The sequence below is a fragment of the Homo sapiens genome, chromosome 9, assembly GCF_000001405.40.
Source record: "Homo sapiens chromosome 9, GRCh38.p14 Primary Assembly".
Taxonomy (NCBI): Eukaryota; Metazoa; Chordata; class Mammalia; order Primates; family Hominidae; genus Homo; species Homo sapiens.
Window position 1 is genome coordinate 99212924 of NC_000009.12, and position 23066 is coordinate 99235989.

Here is a 23066-nt window from a genome sequence, read left to right on the forward strand (position 1 = left end):
CTATTAAATAATAATATATTTTCTCTTGGATGATTAGGACTCATCCAGATGGTCTTACCCCTTCAAAATAATTGCAAACAAGATTAAAACTGCATTTAGGAACTATTCTAGTTGGCTTATGCCTTTCTCTGATGACTCATACCACCAACTAGGTATAAGTTTTTAAGGGATCTCTTACTTTATCTCACTTTCTTCTGGGAACAGCTTCCAATTTCTTCCTCAATATACACTCTGTTCCCTTCTCCCAGCGATATGATTTCTGCTGCTGTATGATCCTAGATCTTGGCCACAATTGATGGGTTCAAGATTAGATTGCTGACCTGAATCTGGCAACCCATAGTACCTTGCCTCTCAACCTTGCTTCACTGATTTAAGGGCACCTGAACCAGGAAAGGTCCATCTTAACCCTTCTCTGTTATTTTTTCAAACTCTGCAAAAGAGAGCCAGTTCCTCTTTGGTAGTAGAAGTATTAAGGTGGAGGGCTTGGCTTCACTGGTAGCATGTTTCCTGCTACAAAAGAGAAGTTAGTCTATACCGAAAGACAATGAAGTATCATATAAAGAAATGGTGTTCTGGTGGCACTTGAATTCCTGGTTTCATTTGAACATCTAGCCTAGCTACATCCCTGTACTTCTCTTGATTCAATTCTGTAACTTTCCTTGAATTACCCAATCTATCCCAGTAGCTTCCTAAAAATCTTCCCTTTCTGCCTAAGCTAGGGTTGGGTTAAAATTTTTAAATATTTGCCCATATAACCTAACATATGATCATGTATTACTCTATTGAATTGAAGTGTTAAGTTAGGTTTCCAGGTTCTCTAACGCAAAGGAAGCATACAATTTGGCTGAAAGCAAGCTGGTTAACATGATCATTTGGTTTGAAAATAAACATCGCCAGTGATTTTTTTTGATAATTGCTTTTTTTTTTTCGTGTACCCTAAGCAGTTTTGCAATCTTTTCATGTCTTTTTCTTTAGATTTTTCATTTTTGCTTTTCAAATTTGCCTTTTAAAACTTTAAATATTTGCTTTTAGAATTTAAAGTCAGTTGTTTTTCCTCTGGACTGCTTATAGTAGAAAAAAGCTGGAGTAATCTCAGTATATAATAATAAGGATTATAAAGAACAAACTATATATCTCAAACAGGGCATTAGTTGGAAACACAAATGTCTACTATGTTGAAAACTTAGTAGACATAAATGACCAACAAGACTATTTTATAGTTCATTGCTCAAATTTCTCTTTTCTGAGGAAAAAAAATCTAACTTAGGAAATATCAGAAACCATAAACAAAAAATTTCTGGCCTGGACACTCTCATTGTGATACCAACACCAAAACTCCAGTCCTCTTGGCATAAACAGAGCTGCTGGCTCCAGCAGCCCCTTGGCTCAGGGGTCAGGATGGTAAAATTCTCCCTTCCCCTACCTCCCAAGAGCTGATGCTTTATCAAGGACAGTTTAGAAAGTGGGTCATTGGGAAGACTCCTCTCCCCTTAGCTGACAGGCATGAGAGCACTGGTGTCTGGAGGGTGACACCTTCTCAGGCTATTGGGGACAGAGTTCGAGAGGGTTAAGGTTAGGAATGGAGTAAGGGGTTCAAAGGAAGTGATAGAATATAAGTGGTTTTTGATAGAAGTAGAGGAGGGCTGCAACTGTCCCTCTGTGTGAATTCAGACAGGTCCCTTCCTCTTTCTGGGCTTGTCTTCCCATCTGTGCAATACCAAATTAGGTTAGGTGGCCTCTGGGGTCCCAGTCAGATTTGACTGGCTTTGATTCTGGGAGGTGGAAATGCAAAGGAAGGAGATCACAGGATGATTAGTGACCCTGGCAAAGGTGGACAGAGAAGGGCTGATTGTTATGATTAAAGATGGAGTGAGCAGAGTGGAGCAGTGAAGTGCTCTGGTGCTGTTTTTACTCTTTTTTTTGAGATGGAGTTTTGTTCTTGTTGCCCAGGCTAGAGTGCAATGGTGCGATCTCAGCTCACCGCAACCTCCGCCTCCCAGGTTCAAGCGATTCTCCTGCCTCAGCCTCCCAAGTAGCTGGGATTACAGGCATGCACCACCACATCCCACTATTTTTTTTGTATTTTTAGTAGAGACGGGGTTTCTCCATTTTGGTCAGGCTGGTCATGAAGCATTTGCTGAAGAGGCAACTGTAGTACAACTAAAAGAACTGTTAACCTCAAGTTGGACATACCTGGGTTTGAATTGTAGCTCCACTGCTTCCTAGCTGTAAGCCTCAGACTTTCAATCTCTAAAAATGCCTATAATTACCTGAAAGGATGCTGTGAAGAGCAAACGAGACAATCTCTAATGAGCTCTGCAAAAGCTCTAAAGGCTGTCCAAATACGTGTTCAGTAGACATTTGTCATTGGATCAAAGAACTGCACTACTACTCCCCCTTAGCTGAGTGGGTCTCTTTATGGACATGATACTCCCTCTTCTATTGGCCCATCGTGTTTTTATGTGTGTATGTATGAAGGACAAATGATATTTACGCATATCAAAGAGGAGGAGACTGAGAAATTCTGGTATGCGCAAAGTCCCGGATGGCTCAGGTAACTAAGGGCCAAATGCTGGCTCAGTTACTTTTCAATTGTGTGCCTTCAGGCAAGTCTTTCACCTCTCTGAGCTTGTGTGTAAGATGGGGGATAATCATACTCACCTCGGAAGACTGATGGGAAGAGGCAAATGGACAGTAAACAGCAAAGTCTTTCTAAACCCAAAGACCTGTACAACTACAACTGCAGTGCTGCAGAGGGAGTTGTACTGAAAAAACATTACACAAAGAATTTGGTTAGGGTGAGGGCAGACTGAAGAATAGTAAAGTGGTTGGACTTTGGAATCAGAGGGCCTTGAGATTCTGTCCATTCTTCAAGGCCATGGGACGCAGGCAACTTGCTTAACTACATTCATCTAAAAGGGAAGAATACCTACATCTCAGTGAATTGTTGAGGATTAAGCATCTGCTATGTATGTATCTCCTTTCCTGCCCTGCACAAAGTAATTACCAGAATTACTATGGATAAGGCCCCAACAATTCACCTTCAATGTTTCATGCTTCTACTTTCCCTAACTTCAGCTTAGTTTTGGAAGGTGTGAACACTTCTTAAGGGCAAAGTTCCATTCTAGGGTCCAGGAACCAGGAACTAATGGTCAGAAGCTGGAAGCTCATGGCAGGCAGGACTCCATCCCTCCCAGACCTGTGAAATCTTATTGTCACTCACTCCGGCTTAGGACAATGAAGTGAAGCTAAAATCAGGGTCCATGAACCCATGTAGTCCATTTGAAAGGATTTGCATAAAAATGGTCAAATATGCAAATGTTTAGTGCTGCTTAGTAAGGTAAGCACCATGTTGTAGGTCACAGTGTGGCCAAGTCTATCTGTGCTAAACTCCATGGTAAGAGCCACCAGGCTTCCTGGAAAGGCTGCATTTCTCAGAAACACATGAACCAAATCATACCTTCTGTACTACATGGTAAGCTTTCACAATGCCAAAGAAAATGGAATGCAACAGAACTTTTAATCCCATAAAAGACTCAATATATTTGGCACCCTCATTTTATAGTACTCCTTTTTGGTACAGAATCATTTTGCCAAAATACTCCTGTGATACAGATGCACATGATAAACTGTAAAATGGAATTTCACCCATTGAAGAGCCCCAAAAGAACAATATGGTAGTGCAGCATGAACTAACATGCAATTTCTAATTTTCAATATCCCCAAATTGCAAAATACTAATAGCTAATATATATACTATATGCCAAGTATTAAGTACTTTGTAATATTATCATAATCTGTTATAACCGCACTATGAGGAAAGTAGAATAGTACAATTATCTCACTTTGCAGATGAAGAAGCTGAGGTATAGAGATCAATTTACACAAAATCATATAGGCTGTTAGGCTCTCAAGTCTAGCTCTTAAGAGTTGATAAATGTGGAGCCTTTGGCTAGTAAGCTTTGCTACTTCTGGAAATGAATTTAGCCTTAGAAGTATGTTGAAAACTACTGTTTATGATTTGCTGTTAGACCAACAGGTAAACAGTGAACTATAAGTCAGTGTCACGAAAATATCAGTGTCATGAAAAGGCTAGAGTACATGGAGGGGGAAGATAACTTCTGGCTTGGGAGGTGGCCAGAGGGTCAAAGAAAGCTTTGCAGCAGTGGCATTTGAGCCAGGCCTTGGAAGATAAAAAACATTTGTGTCCTATACTTAGTAGGAGCTTGGTCAAGACAACACAAATATTAACAAAACTAATGACCTAGATGACATTAAGAAATATACCCTAAACAAGATGCACAACACATGTGTGACAATATTCTTGCTTCATTTCAATATCCACTTTACCCTAGTGTTCTGATTTCCAGTTTGGTTGTCATATCCATGTTCGTAACAATACCAAAATAGATTATGGAGACCAAAATCTAATACTGTTTCTTTTTTATGATAAACACCTTTTATTATATCTCAGTGTGCAAAAATACAAATTATCTTAAAAAAAATACAGAGCACTCTCGCTATGGATCCAGGCAAAGACAGGACAAACAAAAATTCCCTAACAGATGACAGTGAACACTTCGGTGGATTGAATCTGGGAACTACAATAGCCCTGCTCTCATTATACTATGAAGCCAAATTAATCAACTTTGATAATGATACACACTTAAACTATGAAAACCAATTAAGGCACAGTATCATTCAAAATTTATAGACAGAAGAGCAATAATCCCGAGAAAATATAATTAAAATACTCTGCTGAACATGGAATGACACCACATTTGTAACTTAACACTGGCAAAATTTGGAATGATTATAGCATAAAAGACATGGTTTTTCTGAAAAGTGGACAGGGAGGTGTGGTATATAGGAAAGTGGCTCACATTCAAGACTCAAGTTTATTTTTTAAAAGATCTCTTCTGCATTAGATTCTAGGTTTCTTTTTTGGTTTCAAAACTGGGTCTACAATCCATAAAAATGACATTAATGGAGATCTTAAAAACAATCTGATTATACCAGCAGTTTGGTAACATATCGGTAGAGCTGTTCTGTAAATGCTTCAGGGGAAAATTTTTCCTTCACTCTGGCTCTTCCAGCCAGGCCCATGGTGGCTTTTAAGGAAGGTTCACGGATGAACTTTTCTATTGCTTCTGAGAAGTGCACCGGGTCAGGCTCACACAGAAACCCTGTGACACTGTGGTCAATGGACTCCAAGGGTCCACCCGAATTAACAGCAATGACTGGGCACTGCATGTACATGGCTTCCAGAGGGACAATGCCAAAGTGCTCATTGCTTGGTGTGTAAAGCACACACGTGCAGCTGTGGAGGAGGGAGATTTTCTGTTTGTCTGAGAAAGACCTCAAGAAGGTCACATACTGGCCAAGGTCGGACTGTTGGACCATTTTCTTCAATTCCTGATAATGTTCCACATTCTCCAGGACTCTCTCGTCATAACCACCTGCCACGATCAGATGAACCCTCTCCCAATCTTGGGATGTCAATCTTCCACGCAGCTGTACTAGGGCTTCCAGTGCCAAAGTCAGATTTTTCTTCCTTTCGTATCTGTTGATGGAGAGCAGCAGGAATTTTTTCCCCTTGGGGACTAGGTCATCCAGCTTTTCAGGAACAACTGAGTCAAAGCTGGTGACATTTAGAGATGGATAGAGGACATCAGGGTCTATGTGAGACAGGGACTTGAATGTTTCCTTAAAAACAGCAGCTGTGAACTGGCTGTTGACTAAGATGCAGTCTGCCATGCCTGTGGTGTATTCCTCTATCCAGTCAATTGGGGCCCTGTATAGTCGTTTAAGAAAAGAATCTCTCTTGGTGAGAAGCAGATCTGGGAAGTGACAGTAAAATAGGATCTTCTTCCGCCGTCTAGCCAGCCTGAACACTGGGATACAGGCAGACACCTAGCCAAAGCAAAAATCAACAGCGGATAAAGTGGTCAACTCAACTTCAACCAAACCAAAAACACAGACACCCACCCCGTCTGGCTAGTCTGTGGGCTCCTCATGGGCAATGTCTGATTCTGTTTTATTCCCCAAGACTCTCACCCAGTACCATATGCCTGGTGTACAGAAGGCTACAGACGTTTGCTAGATGTGTGCTAAACATTTAAAGCTTCAAGTCCAGTGATTTCCTCTTGTATAGTGCTGTCTAATAGAAATCTAGTAATATTAAAAATGTTTTTAAGGGTGAAATTAATTTTAACATATTATTTACCGAAAACATTATCATTTCAAAATGTAACCAATACTAAACAGTATTAATGAGATACTTTATATATACATATATTTCACATTACATCTTCAAAATCGGTTTGTATTTTAACTTTAGCACATCTCAGTTTAGACTAGCCACATTTCAAGTGCTCAACAGCCACATGTGGCTAGTGGCTACCATACTGAACAGTGCCGCTCTAGGATCTTTCTCCTTCTAAGGAACTGAATGAATGAACTATAGTAGTTTAGAGCACAAGCTCTAGATTCAAGACTGCCAGGGTTTGAATCTCAGCTCTACTAACTGGCCACGATCAAGTAATTTATCCCACTCTGGGCCTTAGTTTCCTCTTCTGTAACATGGTGACAAATTATAGTTCAAAAAACCCATATACTTTTTGTGATTATTAAATGCACTGATATATGCAAAACACATGGAGTTTAGCACACAGTATGTGCTCAATAAATATTAAAGCTAGTCATCATTGAGCATGAACTACATGCTGGCATTACTACAGACTTTCTTGTTGGGTAATCTTTACAAGTCATTTTAGTCTCAGCTAACTTAAAACCTGAAGAAGGTAACTTTAGGGATAATGTGCAATTTATTCAAAGCCACTTAATTAAAGCAGTAGATACGGAACTTGAATCCAAGATGCCTATTTCCAAGCCAATAATTTTTCCTCTACCCACTATAGTCTCAGCTGCCTCATGTCTACTGACACATGCAGGATGTTTGGTAAATGTCCACGTTACTTAAAAAGAAAGCTTCCATGCAAGCAAGGATGATCAAAAGTAACTCAGGAGTCATAATTAAAGAAACACAAATACAAATGTGATGCCATCTGCACCTATCAGTTTGGCAAAGTTTAAAATGGTTAATATCCAAGGCGGACAAAAGCATGGAGTAAGAGGCTCTATCATACATTGTGGGGGAGTAAAGTGACACAGCCTCCTTGGTAGGCAAACTTGGCAGTAGCTATTGATATTTAAAATGAACAACTCTTAGACCCACCAACTTTAGGAATTTCCTCAAACGACATATTTGCAGAAGTACAAAAATATTTTAAAAAAAAGAAGTAAAAGGATGTTCATTACAACACTGATCTATTCACAAAAAACTAGTCACAACATTAGTGTCCTTTAAGGAGAATGTTTAATTATGACACACTTAAACAAAAGTGGATTTTCTGGCCACTATGAAGAATGAAGTGAATCTCTAATATTGATACATAAGAATGTCCCGGCTGGGCGCAGTGGCTCATGCCTGTAATCCCAGCACTTTGGGAGGCCGAGGTGGGCGGATCGCGAGGTCAGGAGTTCGAGACCAGCCTGGCCAACATGGTGAAACCCCATCTCTACTAAAAATAGAAAAAATTAGCCGGGCGTGGGGCGCGCACCTGTACTCCCAGCTACTCTGGAGGCGGAGGTTGCAGTGAGCCGAGATCGCGCCACTGCACTCCAGCCTGGGAGACAGAGCAAGACTCCGTTTCAAAATAAATAAATAAATAAATAAATTTTTGCTGAAAAAGATGCCTAATAGTAGGTATGTCATAATACCAATTATGTACCAATAAGAAGATATAGATATACCTATGAAAAGACACAGGCTGGTGTCACCACAACTTCTGAAAAAATACAAGAGAAACTTAACGGTGGCTATCTTCAGGGAGTAGAATAGGACGGGGCTTTTAGGTTACATCCTTCTATACTACTAAATTTTTAATCGAGTAAATGTTACTTTTTAAAGTCATCTTTTTTAGGATGGGGAAAAATGCACGAAGGAAAGAGTCAAGAATAGCTACAGGGCAGATCCAGGTGGACATTATTTACCAAGGTAAAAAGCTTGAACTTTTCTCCAAAAACCAATGGGGAGCCATGTACAAGTTTTAATAGGGGCATGATATATTCAGCTTGGCGTTTTTAACACATGACACTGCTGAGGACGGTGTGGCCTGGCTCCGAACACAAGGACAGTGGGATGCAAATGGCCTGAAAGGAGAGTCAACAAAAATAACAGGTAAGCGGGAAGACAACACGCGAGTTACTCATTAGTAAAAGGTGACTGAAGCTGACTTCTAATACCAGCGTTTCTCAGAGCCCCAAAGACTATCTACCTCGGAATCACCCTATGACCCAGTTAAAATGCAGATGTCTGGGCCCCACCTCAGGGCACCTGGATGAAAACTTCCTGGAGGATGGAACCCCAGCAATCTGCAACTTTAAATGGGCCCACACTAAAGTTAGAGAACCACAGGCTCGCTCACAACCCTGACTTCTCCATGTCAGTTCCGATCTTTGCGAACCGCAGACAGGGAAGGTCTTCTCTCAGGGGTCATGCCCGCGGCCGCCCTCCACGGCGAGGTCCGCACTCGCGCAGCCGGCCCCGCGGCCGCCTCACCTGGTCGCACACTACCACGTCGAACTCCTCGTCGGCGAGGAACAGCACGTAGAGCGCCAGGAAAACCATGCGCACGTAGGCGCAGACGGCGGCGCCGCGGCCGCCCCAGCCCAGGCCTCGCGGCAGCCAGTCCCCGGCACAGCGCACCGGTAGCTCGCGGCTCTCGGCGAAACAGTGGCCCGGGTCGTAGTGCGCTGTCCAGATCTTCACGCTACACCCGCGCGCCTGCAGCGCCAGCGCCGCGTCCAACACCAGCCGCTCAGCGCCGCCCACGCCCAGGTCTGGGTGGAGGAACAGCACCGACGGCTTGGGAACCGAGTCCCGTTCCCGGCCCTGCTCCTCCGCCATGGCCCTGGAGCCGCAACTGCACCCCGCACCCTGATGGGGGTCTTCTGCGCAAGCTCCGCGCTCGTAGCTCCCAGCTGGCCACTGCGGGCCGACCCCGCCCTGCCGTACGTGCGTCAGTTAGGCCACATCAGCGCAAATCTGTGAGGGTCTAGTAACTGCCTGAGAAAATATCTTGTCTGACCCCGGTTATATTTTTCCTTCGGTAGGGATTGGACTTTCTGAAGGACGTTGTGATCCAAAGGAAGGAGGCCGGAGGTCTCTACTTCCCATACAGCAGGTAACTAAGTTGTCTGTAGCAGACTGTCTACAGGCATATCGTGAGACGACCCAGGCGTCCCTGGGGTCAGAGAGGACCTTGCCTGCAAGTCCGGGGGCGGGGCCTGAGTCAGTCTCGCCAGCTGCCGGTCTTTCGGGGGCTCCGTAACTTTCTATCCGTCCGCGTCAGCGCCTTGCCACCCTCATCTCCAATATGGTATGGCGGCCCTTCCATGATCCCCGCCTCTCCCAGAAGCCCTGACTCCTCCTGCTTTGCGCCGTGCTTTTCCTCTGTAGCTCCCTTGCTTCCCCCAGCCTCGGGTGTGGGTGTCTAGGCCGGGGTTCTGGGGCAGGCCTGCCGCGCTCACCCGTCTGTCTGCTTGTCTCCCTCTACAGCCTGGTCCGACCCCCAGTGGCACTAACGTGGGATCCTCAGGGCGCTCTCCCAGCAAAGCAGTGGCCGCCCGGGCGGCGGGATCCACTGTCCGGCAGAGGTAAGGAACCCTGCAGTTCGTTCGCTTCCAGACTCGGAGATAGGACCCAGAACCTCGCTGATTCTGGGGTGGAGACCCTAGCATGTGAAGATTGACAAAGGCAAAATGAGCTTCTAGTGACGTGGCCGTGGGAGTAGTTAAAGGCCTTTTGGGAGGAAGGCGACATTTTTTTTCTCGTTGCTCAGTTTAGGGCACTACTCTTAAAAAAGGAAAGTTAACAAACTGGAATAGAGTCAGAGATAACTTTGAGAAAACCGATGTCATTAAACTGGTGTCTCTGGACCTGAGGTTTGCACTCACATTTCCATCTGGCGGCCCCATAAGCAATCTGTCCTACAGATAACTCGTCCTACACAAAACTTAGTCTCTTTTCAGCTCAGCTCTCTCACTCTCAATTATATCTCCTTACTTCCATATGGCACTGTTGTACACTCATTTACTCAGAGCCAGAAACGTCAGCGTCATCTTGGATTTTTCTTATGCTCTTTCTCTCTCTAGTCATATGCCAGACTTTAAACTCTGCTTGAAAGCTTTCTCATAAGCTCTTTCCTTTTCCCTTTCTACTGCTTTGCATTTGCTACTTAACCCTTTTCTTCAGGCTGTTTGCTTTCCAGTCCATCGTTCGCTCTGCTGTTACTCTTCTGCGTAGTTTCTGTTACTTGTTGCTGAACTAAAAAAAACAAACAAACAAAAAAAAAAAACCGGGGGGATACCAAAGCTCTTAGTGGTCATTTCAGCCTAACCTTTCTTTTTCCTTTTTTTTTTTTTGGGATGGAATCTCACTCTGTCGCCCAGGCTGGAGTGCAGTGGCACGATCTCGGCTCACTACAGCCTTTGCCTCCAGAGTTCAAGCAATTCTCCTGCCTCAGCCTCCTGAGTAGCTGAGACTGCAGGCACGTGCCACCACACCCAGCTAATTTTTTGTATTTTTAGTAGAGACGGGGTTTCACCATGTTAGCCAGGATGGTCTCGATCTCCTGACCTTGTGATCCTCCGTCTCTGCCTCCAAAAGTGCTGGAATTACAGGCGTGAGCCACTGCGCCCGGCCTTCAGCCTAATCTTTCTTTGCTGTCCTATGATCCAGCACTCGTGAACCCATTACTGTTTTCTGAATTCACAAACTTTCTCCCTCATCTCAAGGCAAATTTCTACTTATTTTCCAAGACTAAGCTCAGGGGTTATTTCCTCTTGAGGCCTTCTCTGTCTGTAAGCAGCAGTAGCTACTAGTTTTCCCTTTTGCCCCCATAGCATTTTGTTCATATCATTATAAGACCAGTGATGTTTCCATATTTATCTCCTTCATTAGACTTTAACAGAGAACCTGCTCAAGTCATTTCTATCCCAGGTACCCACCATAAGGCATGACACAATAAATAATGACTGAAGGAAGGAATCAAGCAACCAAGTTGTTTTGGGATTTTTGAAGGAACTAGTGGGGTTTTATCTAGGGAGGAAAAAATCTTGAACACATGCATGGAAACTTCTGAAGGATGTGAAGAGGGATGTGACATTTTCTGGCTGCAACAGGTAAATCTAAAACTGATGATTTGAACTTACATGAAATATTTCACATCAGAACAAAGACATTCTAATAGAACTGGCAGAAATGTAAAATTATCCTGAATGATTTTGAGTTCCCTGTCATTGGGATGTTCATGAGGAGTGTATCAGGCTGTGGTTTAACTTATATGGGCTTTGAGTGCTGTCCCCTTCCCACCCTGGGTTTTAGAGATTTTTCGTGCAGGAATGGAAAACATGTCCTGTGGGTGCGGTTCCTTGGGAATGGTTCTGCTTAATGAGAATTGGTAATACTGTGGCAGGGAAGTTTGGCCATCCGAGAATTTGTAAAGAAATAAAAGAAAAAGCACATATTTATCAAATGTACATATGATAATGAAATTATTTATTTAATAGTAAAAATGAAATAACTGATGCACAAGTGAAATGGAGAACTGAAACATTTGAAGACAGACAGATGCAGTTTTTAAAGTCGTGGGTGTTGGTGTCATCTTTTAGGATTCAGTGTGATAGAGCTAGTGTAACAAGAAAGACCATGGTTGTATGTATTGAGAGACCTGACAGTGTTTCCTTCTAGAATGGTAGTGATTAAGTATCATTTCATGAGTATAATGTAATAAGTATTGGTTGTTTAAGAATATCTTTGCTTTATAAGTCTGAGAAAACATTGGAAGTTAATGATTCATAATAGTGCTTTGGATTATGTTGTCTGTAGAGCTGCCTTCTCCATGCTTGATGAGGTGATAGATACTACCTTGGAGGAGAAATGTTATTAAATTTAAGCTCAGGCCAGAGTTGGTGTTCTTGCTCTCCTAAATACAATATAAAAGGAACTTGCTGTGAGGAGCAATAATGCTTTATAAACTGTAAAGGTGTGAAGTGCCACATAGTGTTCTAGCAGGATTAATGGGAATCAGGGATATTAAGATGGCGGAATAGCCACCAATGTATAGACATCAAGGTATTGAGGTCTACTACATGCCAAATGCTGTTTCATCTCCGAAGATGGGTCTGTGAACAAGGTAGGCAAGGTTTGTACTCATGAACCTTATATTCCAGTGTGGGAGATCAAACGCAAGGAAAATAAGACAATGTAATTTCAGGCAATAAGGGCTATGAAGATAAATAAAGCTGGGTGGGGGATAGAGAGTGGTGGGGATAGGGCAAAGGTAGGTAGTTGTTTTAGATAGGGTGTTCACAGTAGGTAATACCTGAGTAGATACCTGAAAGAAGCAAGAGAGCAAATCACACAATGGTTTGGGGACGAATAGGCCTCCTAGGCAAAAGGAGTGGGTAAGTATGAAGATTCTGAGGTCGATGAGGTTGGCTTTGAGGAGCAACAGAAGCACCATGTTAGAACCAAGTGTGTAACTGGTTAGTTTTGAAAACCATTGTGTTGAGGTATAGAAGGGAGAGACAGTTACACAGTGGCCAGAAAGAAAGGGTAAAATAGCCCCCAAATACAAATTTGAGAGATTCAATGTGTTTTATTAACCTTTACCTAGCTACCCCTAGGGAATGGGAAGTATTTTGAGTACACTTTAGTATTTCTAGGGGCTCTGGTTTTCAAATACTCTTCTATGTTCCATGCGCCAGCAGAAATAAGAAATCTTAAGAGAAGCCAGCCTGACTCCTCTGGGGCTCCTGTAATTCCAGGAAACTTTGAAGTCAGGAACTGGAGGTGTGATATTGTGGAAATAGTAGGAAGTGCATGCGTCCAAGTCCTGGCTCAGTCCATGACTATAATATGTTCACACTGGGTTTATCTTCTAGCTTAAAATCCTTTTCAATGAACAAGGAGGAAGATTTCAGCTGCATACCCCACAGATGGAATGACATATATCTGTGTGTGTGAAACCTTTTCTAAGGGCATGAATCTTTCTGTAAATCCCTGTACAGTTATGTTTTGCCATTTACAATCAGTTTTCCCATAGGAATGGTCACACAATGAAGTTTTAAGTTCCCAGGCTACCACGTAGTCCATAATTAATGTGTCTGAAATATAATCCTTGTAGTACAATAGACCCAAATCATGGTTTGGCACTGATTGCTTTCAAAGTTCTGGCATGAACACAGCTCTTCCTGTTAGAACCAGGACTGCACTCTCCCACTCCGTCATGTAGCAGGGCAGGCTCCCCGTGCTGTAGACAGTGCTTCCTGCATTCAGAATGTGGAGTAAAGACCGTGGTTGGGTAAAGGAGGCATGAGGACCAGAATGGGGAGGAAAGCAAGAAGAGATGGTAGGGATAGGGTTTTCACTTCTCTTCTTTTCCGTATATGCCCTTCCCTTTTTCAAAAATCCAGAATCATCAGCCCACAGATACTGGAATGAGATTTTGAGGGAGGGTATACTGGGATTTGATGCTGAATGGTGCAGGCAGCAATGAGATAGGCTTCCCCTCTCCTCCCCACTAGGACTTCTGAGTTGGTGATACATGGTCTGAAGAAAATTGCTTGTGACTTCTCACCACTTGCCCCTTACCCCCATATTGTACCACTCCAACATGGGGCACGATGAGCAGCTGGGGTTGGGGAAGTACTGCAGGGAAGGGTAGTTGCTGGGTGGGGTTCCCCGGTGACTGAGGGCTTCTCCCAAAGAGGAGAGAAAGGATTCCTTGGGCCTATTCCTTGGCAGCAGAGTCCTAAGTGCTGCTAGGCTGCTTCTGTCTGCCAGGGCTGCGTGTATTACATAGTGTATCTTACAAGCCTTGATCCCCTTGTGAGAGACACAAGGGGTGTTTTGGTTGGGTGTTCCCTGCGTTTTTTTTACATTCTACCTCTCTGTGCAAGATCTGTGATCACTATATTAAAATAGTGAAAACACGGCCAGGTGCGGTGGCTTGCACCTGTAATCCCAGCACTTTGGGAGGCCAAAGCAGGCAGATCATGAGGTCAGGAGTTCAAGACCAGCCTGGCCAGTATGGTGAAACCCTGTCTCTACTAAAAATACAAAAATTAGCTGGGCATGGTGGCGCACGCCTGTAATCCCAGCTAAGCAGGAGGCTGAGGCAGAAGAATCGCTTGAACCCAGGAGGCGGAGGTTGCAGTGAGCAGAAATTGTACTACTGTACTCCAGCCTGGGCAACAGAGCGAAACTCCATCTCAAAAAAAAAAAAAAAAAAAAAAAAAACAAACTAGTGACAACACATAACAAAGTAATTTTTTATAAAGTGTATACTCTATCTTGGGCCCTGGATATAATTAAAGCTTAAAGTTTTTGTCTGTTTGCAGTAAATATACTAATTTTAAAATACATCTTTTAAAGTAGCCATTTTAAGATCAGCTTGTATGGATTCAGGGCATTTTAAAACAGGAATTTATTATTTGGCTTCATGAAAGATGCATGTGAGGAGAAAGTGAAATGCTTTGTCCACATGACACAGCTGGATGTTTTGGGCATGCAGATGGGCTCCAGGGTCAGAGCTAGGTTCAGCCACCTGTTGGCTGCAGGGTCTTAGATATTTTGCTTAACCTTTTCTGAGGCCAATTTGCCTCATTTATAAAATGGAAAAATCGTGACTGCTTTTCAGGGTTATTGTATGCATTGGCATCAGGTAGGCACTTAGTTCATTGTGGTTATCATGATCAAAGGAGTAAAAGCAGGAATTTAGGTGGATTCTAGCAAAGAAAGTTTTTTTTTTTTGATTCCTTAACTGTGTAATAATGGTAGCATATGTTATAATGCTATTCTAATAATTTCCAGAAAAGGCCATTTGTAACATTTTCCTCTCTTTCAGGAAAAATGCCAGCTGTGGGACAAGGAGTGCAGGCCGCACAACCTCGGCAGGCACCGGGGGGATGTGGCGATTCTACACAGAAGATTCACCTGGGCTCAAAGTGTAAGTCTTAGGAACAGTCCTTGTGTTTCTGTCCAGTGGCAGCAGAGCAGCAGTGGCAGCACTCTGTCTCTGTCACCAGTAGCGTTTGCCTTGATGCGATTTACTGTACACAACAGCCTCATTTGTGCCAGGCGGACTGGGTTTGGTTTGCCTGTTTATCAACCGATTAGGCATTGTAGGGCCGGGAATGACATCTTTTCATGGAGTGAGGGAAAGGAAAGGAAGTTCTTCATGGAGCTATGTCAAAATAAATGAGAACAGAGAGAACTGGAGGGAAAACTGCTTAATTAGATGAAATTGCTCTTCATTTGGTGATCTTGCCCCGTACCAAGAAATAGGAGTAATCATTTGAATAGGAATTGGGTGATTTTTCAAAGTTCTCCTGAAGGCATAAGCTGATATTACTACAACCTGATGGAGGTTTTCCCATTAGGCTGTGTTACCAGGAGTTCCTTGGCCTCTTTGCCTTTGGTGGGTGGTGAGTAGACTCAGGAGGGTGAACATGTAATACCACTTTCCAAGTTCTTAGGCATTGGAGTGCTCATTAGGTGATGGGAAATGGGTGTCCAGGGACCCCTGTCCCCATGCCTTGCTCAGGGTTTCTGGTGCTGTGTGGCAGATCTTATCCCACAGATTTCTGTTAGGTTCCAGAACACCACTGCCTACAACTGTTTCCTGACTAAACTCGGTGGATGAGGATTCGAAATAATAACAGCAACTCTGATTTACATAGCACTTTGTACTTTGCAAAGAACTTTCAATGTCTGTTGTCTAGTTTGATCTGCCCAGCAATCCAGTGAGGTGAGAGATGTTACCATTTTGTAGATGAGGACCTCAGGTTCAAAGAGGCAAAGTGACATGCTCAAAGACACACAACAAGAGGTGGAACTGGATATTCTGATTAAGTCCTATGCTCTTTGCATATTGTCCATCTAGTTAAAATAAAAAAGACAAAATTGAATTAATTTGGATTAGTTTTAATTAATTTGACCAGCACCTTGACTTTAGTTTACAAAGTCACAAATTTGTAACTTTACAAATTTGTAAAGTTTTTATTAATTTTAATTAGTTTTTATAATTTTAATTAGTTTTAATTAATTTGACCAGCACCTTGACTTTAGTTTACAAAGTCACAAAAGGATCACAAATTTAGTTTATAAAGCCTTCCCTGGAATTCTTGTTTTCTCTTATATTGGAGACTTATATGATAATGTGAGAATATATCTAGGAAGTAATTCTTGGGGTTGGGGATATGTGAGGTGGGGGTATCCTGACTGCCAACCTTTTGGTCTTTGGTGGAGGTAGTTTGAGTATTTCAGAGAGAATTTTTTTTTCTCCTTTAGCGACAGGGTTTTGCTCTGTCGCCCAGGCTGGAGTGCAATGGCATGATCATAGCTCATTGTAGTCTTGAATTCCTGGGCTCAAGTGATCTTTACTCCAGGAGACAAAATTGGATAAATTTGGATTAATTAGTCCTGAGTAGTTGGGACTACAAGTGCGCACTACCATGCCTGGCTAGTTTTTTGTACAAGCAGAATCTCACTGTGTTGCCCAGGCTGGTTTCTAACTCCTGGCCTCAGCCTCTCAAAGTGCTGGGATTATAGGCATGAGAGGGAACCTCAGAGAGAACATCTGTAGCCCATTGCTCTTCAGGGGACTCATTTTAAACCCTTCTCAAGAAGGTTGTCTTTTAATTTTTAATTTTTATGGGTATACAGGTGTATATATTTATGGGTTATATGAGATGTTTTGATACAGGCATACAATGTGTAATAATCATATCAGGGTGTGTGGGGTATCCATTACCTTAAGCATTTATCCTTTGTGTTATAAACAGTCCAATTATACTGTTAGTTGTTTTACAATATACAATTAAATTATTTTTTGCTATAGTCACGTTGGTGTGCTAGCAAATACTAGGTCTTATTCAGAAGGTTGTCTTTAAATAAATCTTAATTTGAAAAAAAAAGTTTGGTAATGGGTTCATTTGCACTGAAAGAGTTTTCTTCTTTTTATTTGAGAAGACAACAAATACATGAAATTAGATTAATGTCTCCAAGACATCAGATCATTTCATTTGTATATGTTTTGGTATGTTTTACTAAAAGATAAGGACTCATCCTTTTTAAACACAATTGCAGTGCCATCATCACACCTTCAAAAGTATCCACAATAATAATTTTAGAAATATTTTAAAATGATACAAATAATGTTTCTGGATGAACCTTGAGTGCTGCCCACCTTACCTCTACTTTTCCCCTAGGCAATCTTTAGTATTGCAGATCTAATAGTATATTATTACTAAAAGTAAGCATGCTTTCTCTTCTTATTTCTAGTGGCCCTGTTCCAGTATTGGTTATGAGTCTTCTGTTCATCGCTTCTGTATTTATGTTGCACATTTGGGGCAAGTACACTCGTTCGTAGATTCAGTTACATCCATCTGTCATCTGAAGAAGGAGGAAAAAACCCAACATTTCTTGGACCAAAAGTATAGTGACTATCTGTTCATGAGAGAAATTTTCTGTAAGCTTGCTGTTTTACAGGGGATTTATCAATAATTGATTTTGAGGAATCAGTTTTTTTCTATGGCTAATAAACTTTTTAATTCACTTATACTGAGTCTGATCGTTGATGCCTCACTGCTAGGGCCCTTAGTCTTTCTGCCTTTAGATTTGTAAGTAAATATGTAGCAAATATGTCTGGTGAATATTGAGTTTTTTGTTGGATTGACAGTTCCTCACATGACCATGTGGTTATTCAAGTCCAAGATTCTGTAATTGCCCTTGGCTTGTTTTCTTCTAGGTATTTCTGTCCTGGCGATTGTCCTTTTGGGTATTCTGTGGTTATCAAGGAGTGTGTCTCTGACTCCGTCAGACAGATCTGTGTCCAAAGGAAGCTAGTACTTAGGAGAACAATCAAACAAGAAACCAGAAATCTCGGATGAAATGTTGGCGCAGTCTGTTCTTTGTCTTTAATAGGGCCATAGATTATATTTTGCCTCTTCTTTCTCAGTTCTTAATTTTATGAGTGTAGACCAGGGATTTCCATTCATCTACCTCTTACTGTTAAACCCATTTTGAGATAATCCATTTGATAAATTGGATTATCTCAAAATTTGGTAAGACTTATCTAATCAGAGTGAGATACTAGCATTTCTACACTGAGTCGATATAATTCTAACCAGAAATAAAACTTAAGTTTCACTTAGCTTATGTTGCCATACTGGGTATAAATAGTCAGTTTCTGGTACGCCCTAGGAAATACTGAGAATTGCTCAAAGGTAGCTTACTCCAGCCACAACTCCAAGCCAGAATTTCTGACAAGAGAGGGCATTCCCTGGGAAGTGTCCTAGTTGTCCAACAGAGTCACAAAATGATAAAGAGGTATATTATTAACGGTTAAGAAAAAACAGATAATTTTAAAAACATCTTTTTCATACACTAAGCCTATTTTTGAGAAAAAGTCTGAACAGTTAAGCAGTTTCTTAAGTGTTCTTTAAAATGCTAGCTGTAAAGTACTTTTAGATTCAAAGTGTCAAATTTAAATGATGAGAATATGTATCTTTAAAAAAGATTTCCTAGGGAAATATATTGGTAAGTGAGCTCTTGTAAATTCTAACAAATGGTATTTTATTGGGAAAAAATTGATGGGAAACTGGTTTTCTTGGATCCTGTGAGTTGCTTATTACATGAAACAGGTGTCTTCATTTTTGAAATGCAGGGAAAAATGTCTCAATTTCATTTGGAAGAAATTAAAGATGATAGTACCCATAATGGATTTTTTCCCTGATACCGAGTTTGATGGTACCAATTATAGCTAAAAATTATGCCTTTAATTTGGAAAAGAAATCTGTCCCTCTGTCCAGAGGGGCCTTTTCCTCTGGGGGAGATGCTGCAGCCACATGGGGGAGCTGTTTGGTTGTGAGGGGTGCATTCTCTTTGCTGCACCCATCTGCCTAGCCATGGTCTCTAGTGGACTACTAGCTGAAAGTCACTGAATTTTCTGAGCTAGTGATTTATAAGATGCTAGTTTCGGTGGCAGAACAGGGAGATGCTTCATTCAGCAGAAGGAAGAGAAGGAAAATTGGGGGTTGGGCATAAAGATATACAACATTATTATGTAGCTGCTTTGGGCTCTGATGGTACAATGCTCATACATAGCTGAGAATCGTGTCCAATCTGTTCCTTTTTTGTTTGTTTGTTTAATTGTAAAATACACATCACAGAATTTACCATCTGAACCAGTTTTAAGTATATAATTCAGTGATATTAAGTACATTCATAGTGTGCAACCATCACCAAACTAAAACTCCATGAATTAAACAATAACTCCTTCTCCCTGCCCCAGTCCATATGGACCTCATATAAGTGGGATCACGTAGTATTTGTCTTTTTGTGACTGGCTTGTTTCACTTAGCATAATGTCCTCAAGATTGATCCAAGCTGCAGTATATGTTAGAATTTCCTTTCTAAAGACTGAACAATAATATTACGTGTCTATACTACATTTTGTGTTCCTTTCTCTTTAAGGTATTCTCTTTAATAGGTATTCCTAGATTGTTGTTTCCTGAGCCCTAGGGAATAGGGATCTATAGTAAGTCTGAAAGCCTAATTAAATCTTTACCTTGGCCCAACAAATCCTCAGTCTCCCTTGAGCATGGACTATAATTCTAACCATTTCTGATGGATGCATAAGCTAGCACATGCTGAGTAGAAGCTCTAAGTAATTAAAACTGGAAAAATGAGTTACATTATAACTGCAGTTTGGGTCAAGCCTGTTAAGCCATTGGGGAAAAAATATGTTAAGAGAAAAGGCCCAGTGAGTCCATGAAACTAGTAGGGATTAGAAAGAGTAGGGTCTGTGGGCCCTAATATTACCCTAGACATGTTCCAGTGAGACAGTGGATGAGGATAGCATCTGTGCCTGGGAGAAGCTAAATATGTTGTAGCTTCTGTTTTCACACCTGTCCTTATCAGTCTTTTTTTCCAGGTGCCAGTGTCCCCACAGAAAGAATTGAAAAGGATGTTTTGAAATCATGCAAATGTTGGCATCAAGTTAAAATAGATGAAAATGCCTACAAAGCTGGATTCATTCAACAGAAAATACTGTCAAGCATGTGGAGCTCCTATGTGCAGGGAGCCATGCTCTTGATTCCCATAAAGCTGCCCCTTGGTAGCTCCAGAGCCATTGTCCCTCTCTTCAAATGCCGGAGGAGGGCCAGGACCAAGTTTGTTTGATTCTTTGGGTGCACCTTCTAAACTTAGCGTATCTACTTTACTCCATCTTCTGTGATCGGAAGTGTTCCTGACGTGGGTTCAACTGCTGGCCCTAAAACATAAGCAATTGTGTGATCTTGGGCAACTCACTTCTCTGGATCTCACTTTTCTTATGCATAAATGAGTATAGGTGTGATAATTCCCAACAGATAAGAGATTTGACGAGAAAGCTGTAAGAATGCTGCGTTAACTAGCTAATGTAGGGGAAGCTAAAGATCACCTCTACCATCTTAGTTCTTCAGTGGGATCTTCAGCTGGGTCTGGAATCAAATTGATACAAGACAAATTAACAGGAGGAAAGCATGCACATTGTATTAATTTTTACATTGTACATGGGGACCCTCACAAGAGAATAAAGACCCTAGGAAATAGCCAAGGGAGAAAACTTACAGGTTTTAGACAAAGAACAATAAATTTGTGAAGAAATGACAGGGCAAAGGGATCTGAGATGGGGGCAGTAAATTCTAGGGAAGTCACCAGGAGATATATGGGGTGGAGGGTTGTAGAGATAGTGGAATATAAGGGTTTCTTCAATAAGTTTATTTGTACAGGTTCATTGCAGCAGCAATGCTCAGGGCCTGATATTTTCTCACCTTGGTATGGGGAAGGCATCCTCCTCAAAGGATATTTTATGGTTTGCTACATGTAGGAAAGTACAGGTCAGATAACCCTTTCCACAACTACAGTTATTTAAGTGCTTACAGTTCCTTAAATAATCAATATATCAAATCGGCATATTTTGGGGTAGATCATCCTTAACTCCTTGACTAACAGTTAACAAGTGCGCATTTGCAACAATTTTAGAGATACGGTTTTTTTATTTAATAAGCAATCTAATGAGGAGTTTGCTCTTTGCCCCATTTTACACAGGAGGAAACTGAAGCTTAAGCCACTCAGCTGATAAGTGGAAGAGCTGGGATTTCACTGCAGATCTTTGACTGACCTACTAGAGTTACGTAGATGGGAATCTTAAGTATTTGGGGTGAGGGAAGGATATCCCAACAATAGAGCTTGAAAGGTAGTGCCTTTAAAAATAACAGTCCCAAGAATATGCCCCACTATTGTTTGATGTAATTCAAGCCTTAAATAGCTTTAGTTTGAGGTTTTAGATTCTGCAGAAGGAATTGGTTTTTGTATTTCAGTCCTTCTGAGCTTTGTTCATTCTATGGAGCTCTTGCAGTTATAGAGAAAGCATAGTGTTTAGGCATCAGCAGACATTTACTGGGCACTGTGTGCCATGCCCTTTTATTGGGGTTTTAGAAATGACCTGGCAAGGTCATTAGCTTAAATGGACTGGGCATTTGTATACTAGGATCCTATTCCTATCTGGGGCTACAAATTAGAAATGGCTATGTGATTATGGAAAAACCAGTAGGAAGCCCTCTCAAACCCCCTTGCCATTGGTGAAATCAAATAGTCAGGACCACAGTTTAAGAACTAGTATGCTCATGGTGTATGGGCTGTGGTGCCAGGGATTGCAAAACTGGCACTGTCCCCAGGAAATCCATACTGTGTGATCGCTTGTCCAACAGAGGAAAAGCAGAGAATCCTGAGATGCCCTAGCTGGAAGGGCTGCGAGTTCACTGGGTTTTCTCCATTGTATGACAGAGGAGACAGGCCCAGAGAGGGGAAGGGACTTGCCTGAGATTGTGCAGCAGGTTTGCAGCAGAACAGAGGCCAGAACCAGTCTTTTCTGTTTCCAGATCAGGGCTTCTTCCCAGTACTGCACTATGAACCCAATTTTGAGCCTGTGCATAAGCCTGTTGACGTCTCTAGAGGGTAGGCTCTGGAAGTAGGTAAACTAAGTGGTAGGCTTTGAATAGTGGGCATTGTTAATCAAAGGGGAAGGAGTGAAGACAGCAAGACTAGCTAGTAAAAATAAAATCAATTATGTTAGCAACTTTAGGAGAAAGTCAAGTTCATGAGACTTTATAGAGACAAAATAGGGAGAAGCAGCTAGCAGAACTGCAGTGTTTTGCATTTTTGTGACCACAAATGTTAGGTGAGCCTGGAACACAGTGAAATTGACCAAGTAGGGTTAAGGTTTGAGAAGGGCTAAACTGTTGAAATGCTATTCCTGGTCACTCTGACAACTGGGTCTCTTTCCCATGCTGAAGGCATTAAAATAAGATAAAACATGCAAATGCACCAAATTGGAATCAAAGGTATAGTCATACAAAGTCTGGATTGCTCCATTTTAAGGAAAGGTCTAGAAGTTTATGCCTCAGAAAGCAAATGAAGACATGAGGGGAAGAATTTGAATTACATATATAAAGATTAAATTAGTCCTGCAAACATGCATACTCATTTTTCTTCCCATTGACTCTGGTCACACGCATCGTAGATAATGAATCACGTAGTTGCGTGCTCTATTGTCTTTCCTGTTCTACTCAATAATACAGTTGCCAGTAAGAAAACATGCTCATTCTTCTAGGGATCTATCTAAATTGGTCTGGGTTGTAGAATATAGAGCAACTTGCTGCTTAGATGAGTGGTTCCCAAACTTTAACATGCATCAGGGGCACCTGGAAGGAATCTGCAGCTGCTACATAGCAGATTTTGAGATCACTCAACTGGGAGTCTCCACTCCCTAAAGCAGGAGCCCAAAGCAGAAATCACAATGTGGGGCCAGGGTCACTGGGCATATACTTTATTCTAGGCCCATCACCCAAACAGGTGTGTTAAATTTGTCCCCCTTTCTCTTCTTTGAAGT

The 23066-nt window shown here is 41.8% G+C and overlaps 2 protein-coding genes across 5 annotated transcripts, besides 4 other annotated features; one reads left to right on the forward strand and one right to left on the reverse strand.

Moving 5' to 3' along the window:
• On the reverse strand, positions 3502–9019 carry ALG2 (ALG2 alpha-1,3/1,6-mannosyltransferase). Of its 3 annotated transcripts, NR_024532.2 has the most exons (3): positions 8624–9019; positions 8056–8214; positions 3502–5913 (listed from the first exon to the last, which is right to left on the reverse strand). NR_024532.2 is itself a non-coding variant. In NM_033087.4 (2 exons), the coding sequence occupies exons 1-2, from the start codon at positions 8969–8971 to the stop codon at positions 5011–5013; spliced, it is 1251 nt and encodes a 416-aa protein (NP_149078.1). In that variant the 5' UTR covers positions 8972–9019; the 3' UTR covers positions 3502–5010. The 3 variants fall into 3 exon arrangements, 2 of the variants coding, with proteins under 2 accessions (NP_149078.1, XP_047279952.1); NM_033087.4 differs by lacking the exon at positions 8056–8214; XM_047423996.1 differs by lacking the exon at positions 8624–9019 and having other exon boundaries at positions 8056–8592.
• Positions 5939–6108: an enhancer, noted in NCBI's record as "experimental_103900 CRE fragment used in MPRA reporter constructs". NCBI's record gives its function as "activates a minimal promoter by MPRAs in K562 erythroleukemia cells, with activity observed for both the introgressed and non-introgressed 9:101981229 or rs41274646 variant alleles {active_cell/tissue: K562}" and the evidence as "EXISTENCE:reporter gene assay evidence [ECO:0000049][PMID:34662402]".
• Position 6024: a transcriptional cis regulatory region, noted in NCBI's record as "Neanderthal adaptively introgressed variant 9:101981229 (GRCh37/hg19 assembly coordinates) or rs41274646 in the experimental_103900 CRE". NCBI's record gives its function as "modulates activity of the experimental_103900 enhancer by MPRAs in K562 erythroleukemia cells {active_cell/tissue: K562}" and the evidence as "EXISTENCE:reporter gene assay evidence [ECO:0000049][PMID:34662402]".
• Positions 9109–9428: an enhancer, noted in NCBI's record as "active region_28702". NCBI's record gives its function as "activates an Ori minimal core promoter by ATAC-STARR-seq in GM12878 lymphoblastoid cells {active_cell/tissue: GM12878}" and the evidence as "EXISTENCE:reporter gene assay evidence [ECO:0000049][PMID:35858748]".
• Positions 9359–17692, forward strand: SEC61B (SEC61 translocon subunit beta). Of its 2 annotated transcripts, NM_006808.3 has the most exons (4): positions 9359–9443; positions 9623–9720; positions 14976–15077; positions 17414–17692. In NM_006808.3, exons 1-4 carry the CDS (start codon positions 9441–9443, stop codon positions 17499–17501), a joined length of 291 nt encoding a protein of 96 aa, NP_006799.1. In that variant the 5' UTR covers positions 9359–9440; the 3' UTR covers positions 17502–17692. The 2 variants fall into 2 exon arrangements, with proteins under 2 accessions (NP_006799.1, XP_047278618.1); XM_047422662.1 differs by lacking the exon at positions 9359–9443 and having other exon boundaries at positions 9623–11247.
• Positions 18374–18543: an enhancer, noted in NCBI's record as "experimental_103905 CRE fragment used in MPRA reporter constructs". NCBI's record gives its function as "activates a minimal promoter by MPRAs in K562 erythroleukemia cells, with activity observed for the non-introgressed 9:101993664 variant allele {active_cell/tissue: K562}" and the evidence as "EXISTENCE:reporter gene assay evidence [ECO:0000049][PMID:34662402]".

Excerpts from the sequence above, each read along its gene's own strand:
- ALG2 (NM_033087.4), bottom strand. The coding sequence starts at position 8,971 with ATGGCGGAGGAGCAGGGCCGGGAACGGGACTCGGTTCCCAAGCCGTCG. Across the intron at positions 5,914-8,623 it reads ACGTGGTAGTGTGCGACCAG|GTGTCTGCCTGTATCCCAGT; the intron begins GTGAGGCGGCCG and ends TGCTTTGGCTAG.
- SEC61B (XM_047422662.1), top strand. The coding sequence starts at position 11,194 with ATGGAAACTTCTGAAGGATGTGAAGAGGGATGTGACATTTTCTGGCTG. Across the intron at positions 11,248-14,975 it reads ACATTTTCTGGCTGCAACAG|GAAAAATGCCAGCTGTGGGA; the intron begins GTAAATCTAAAA and ends CCTCTCTTTCAG. Across the intron at positions 15,078-17,413 it reads GATTCACCTGGGCTCAAAGT|TGGCCCTGTTCCAGTATTGG; the intron begins GTAAGTCTTAGG and ends TCTTATTTCTAG.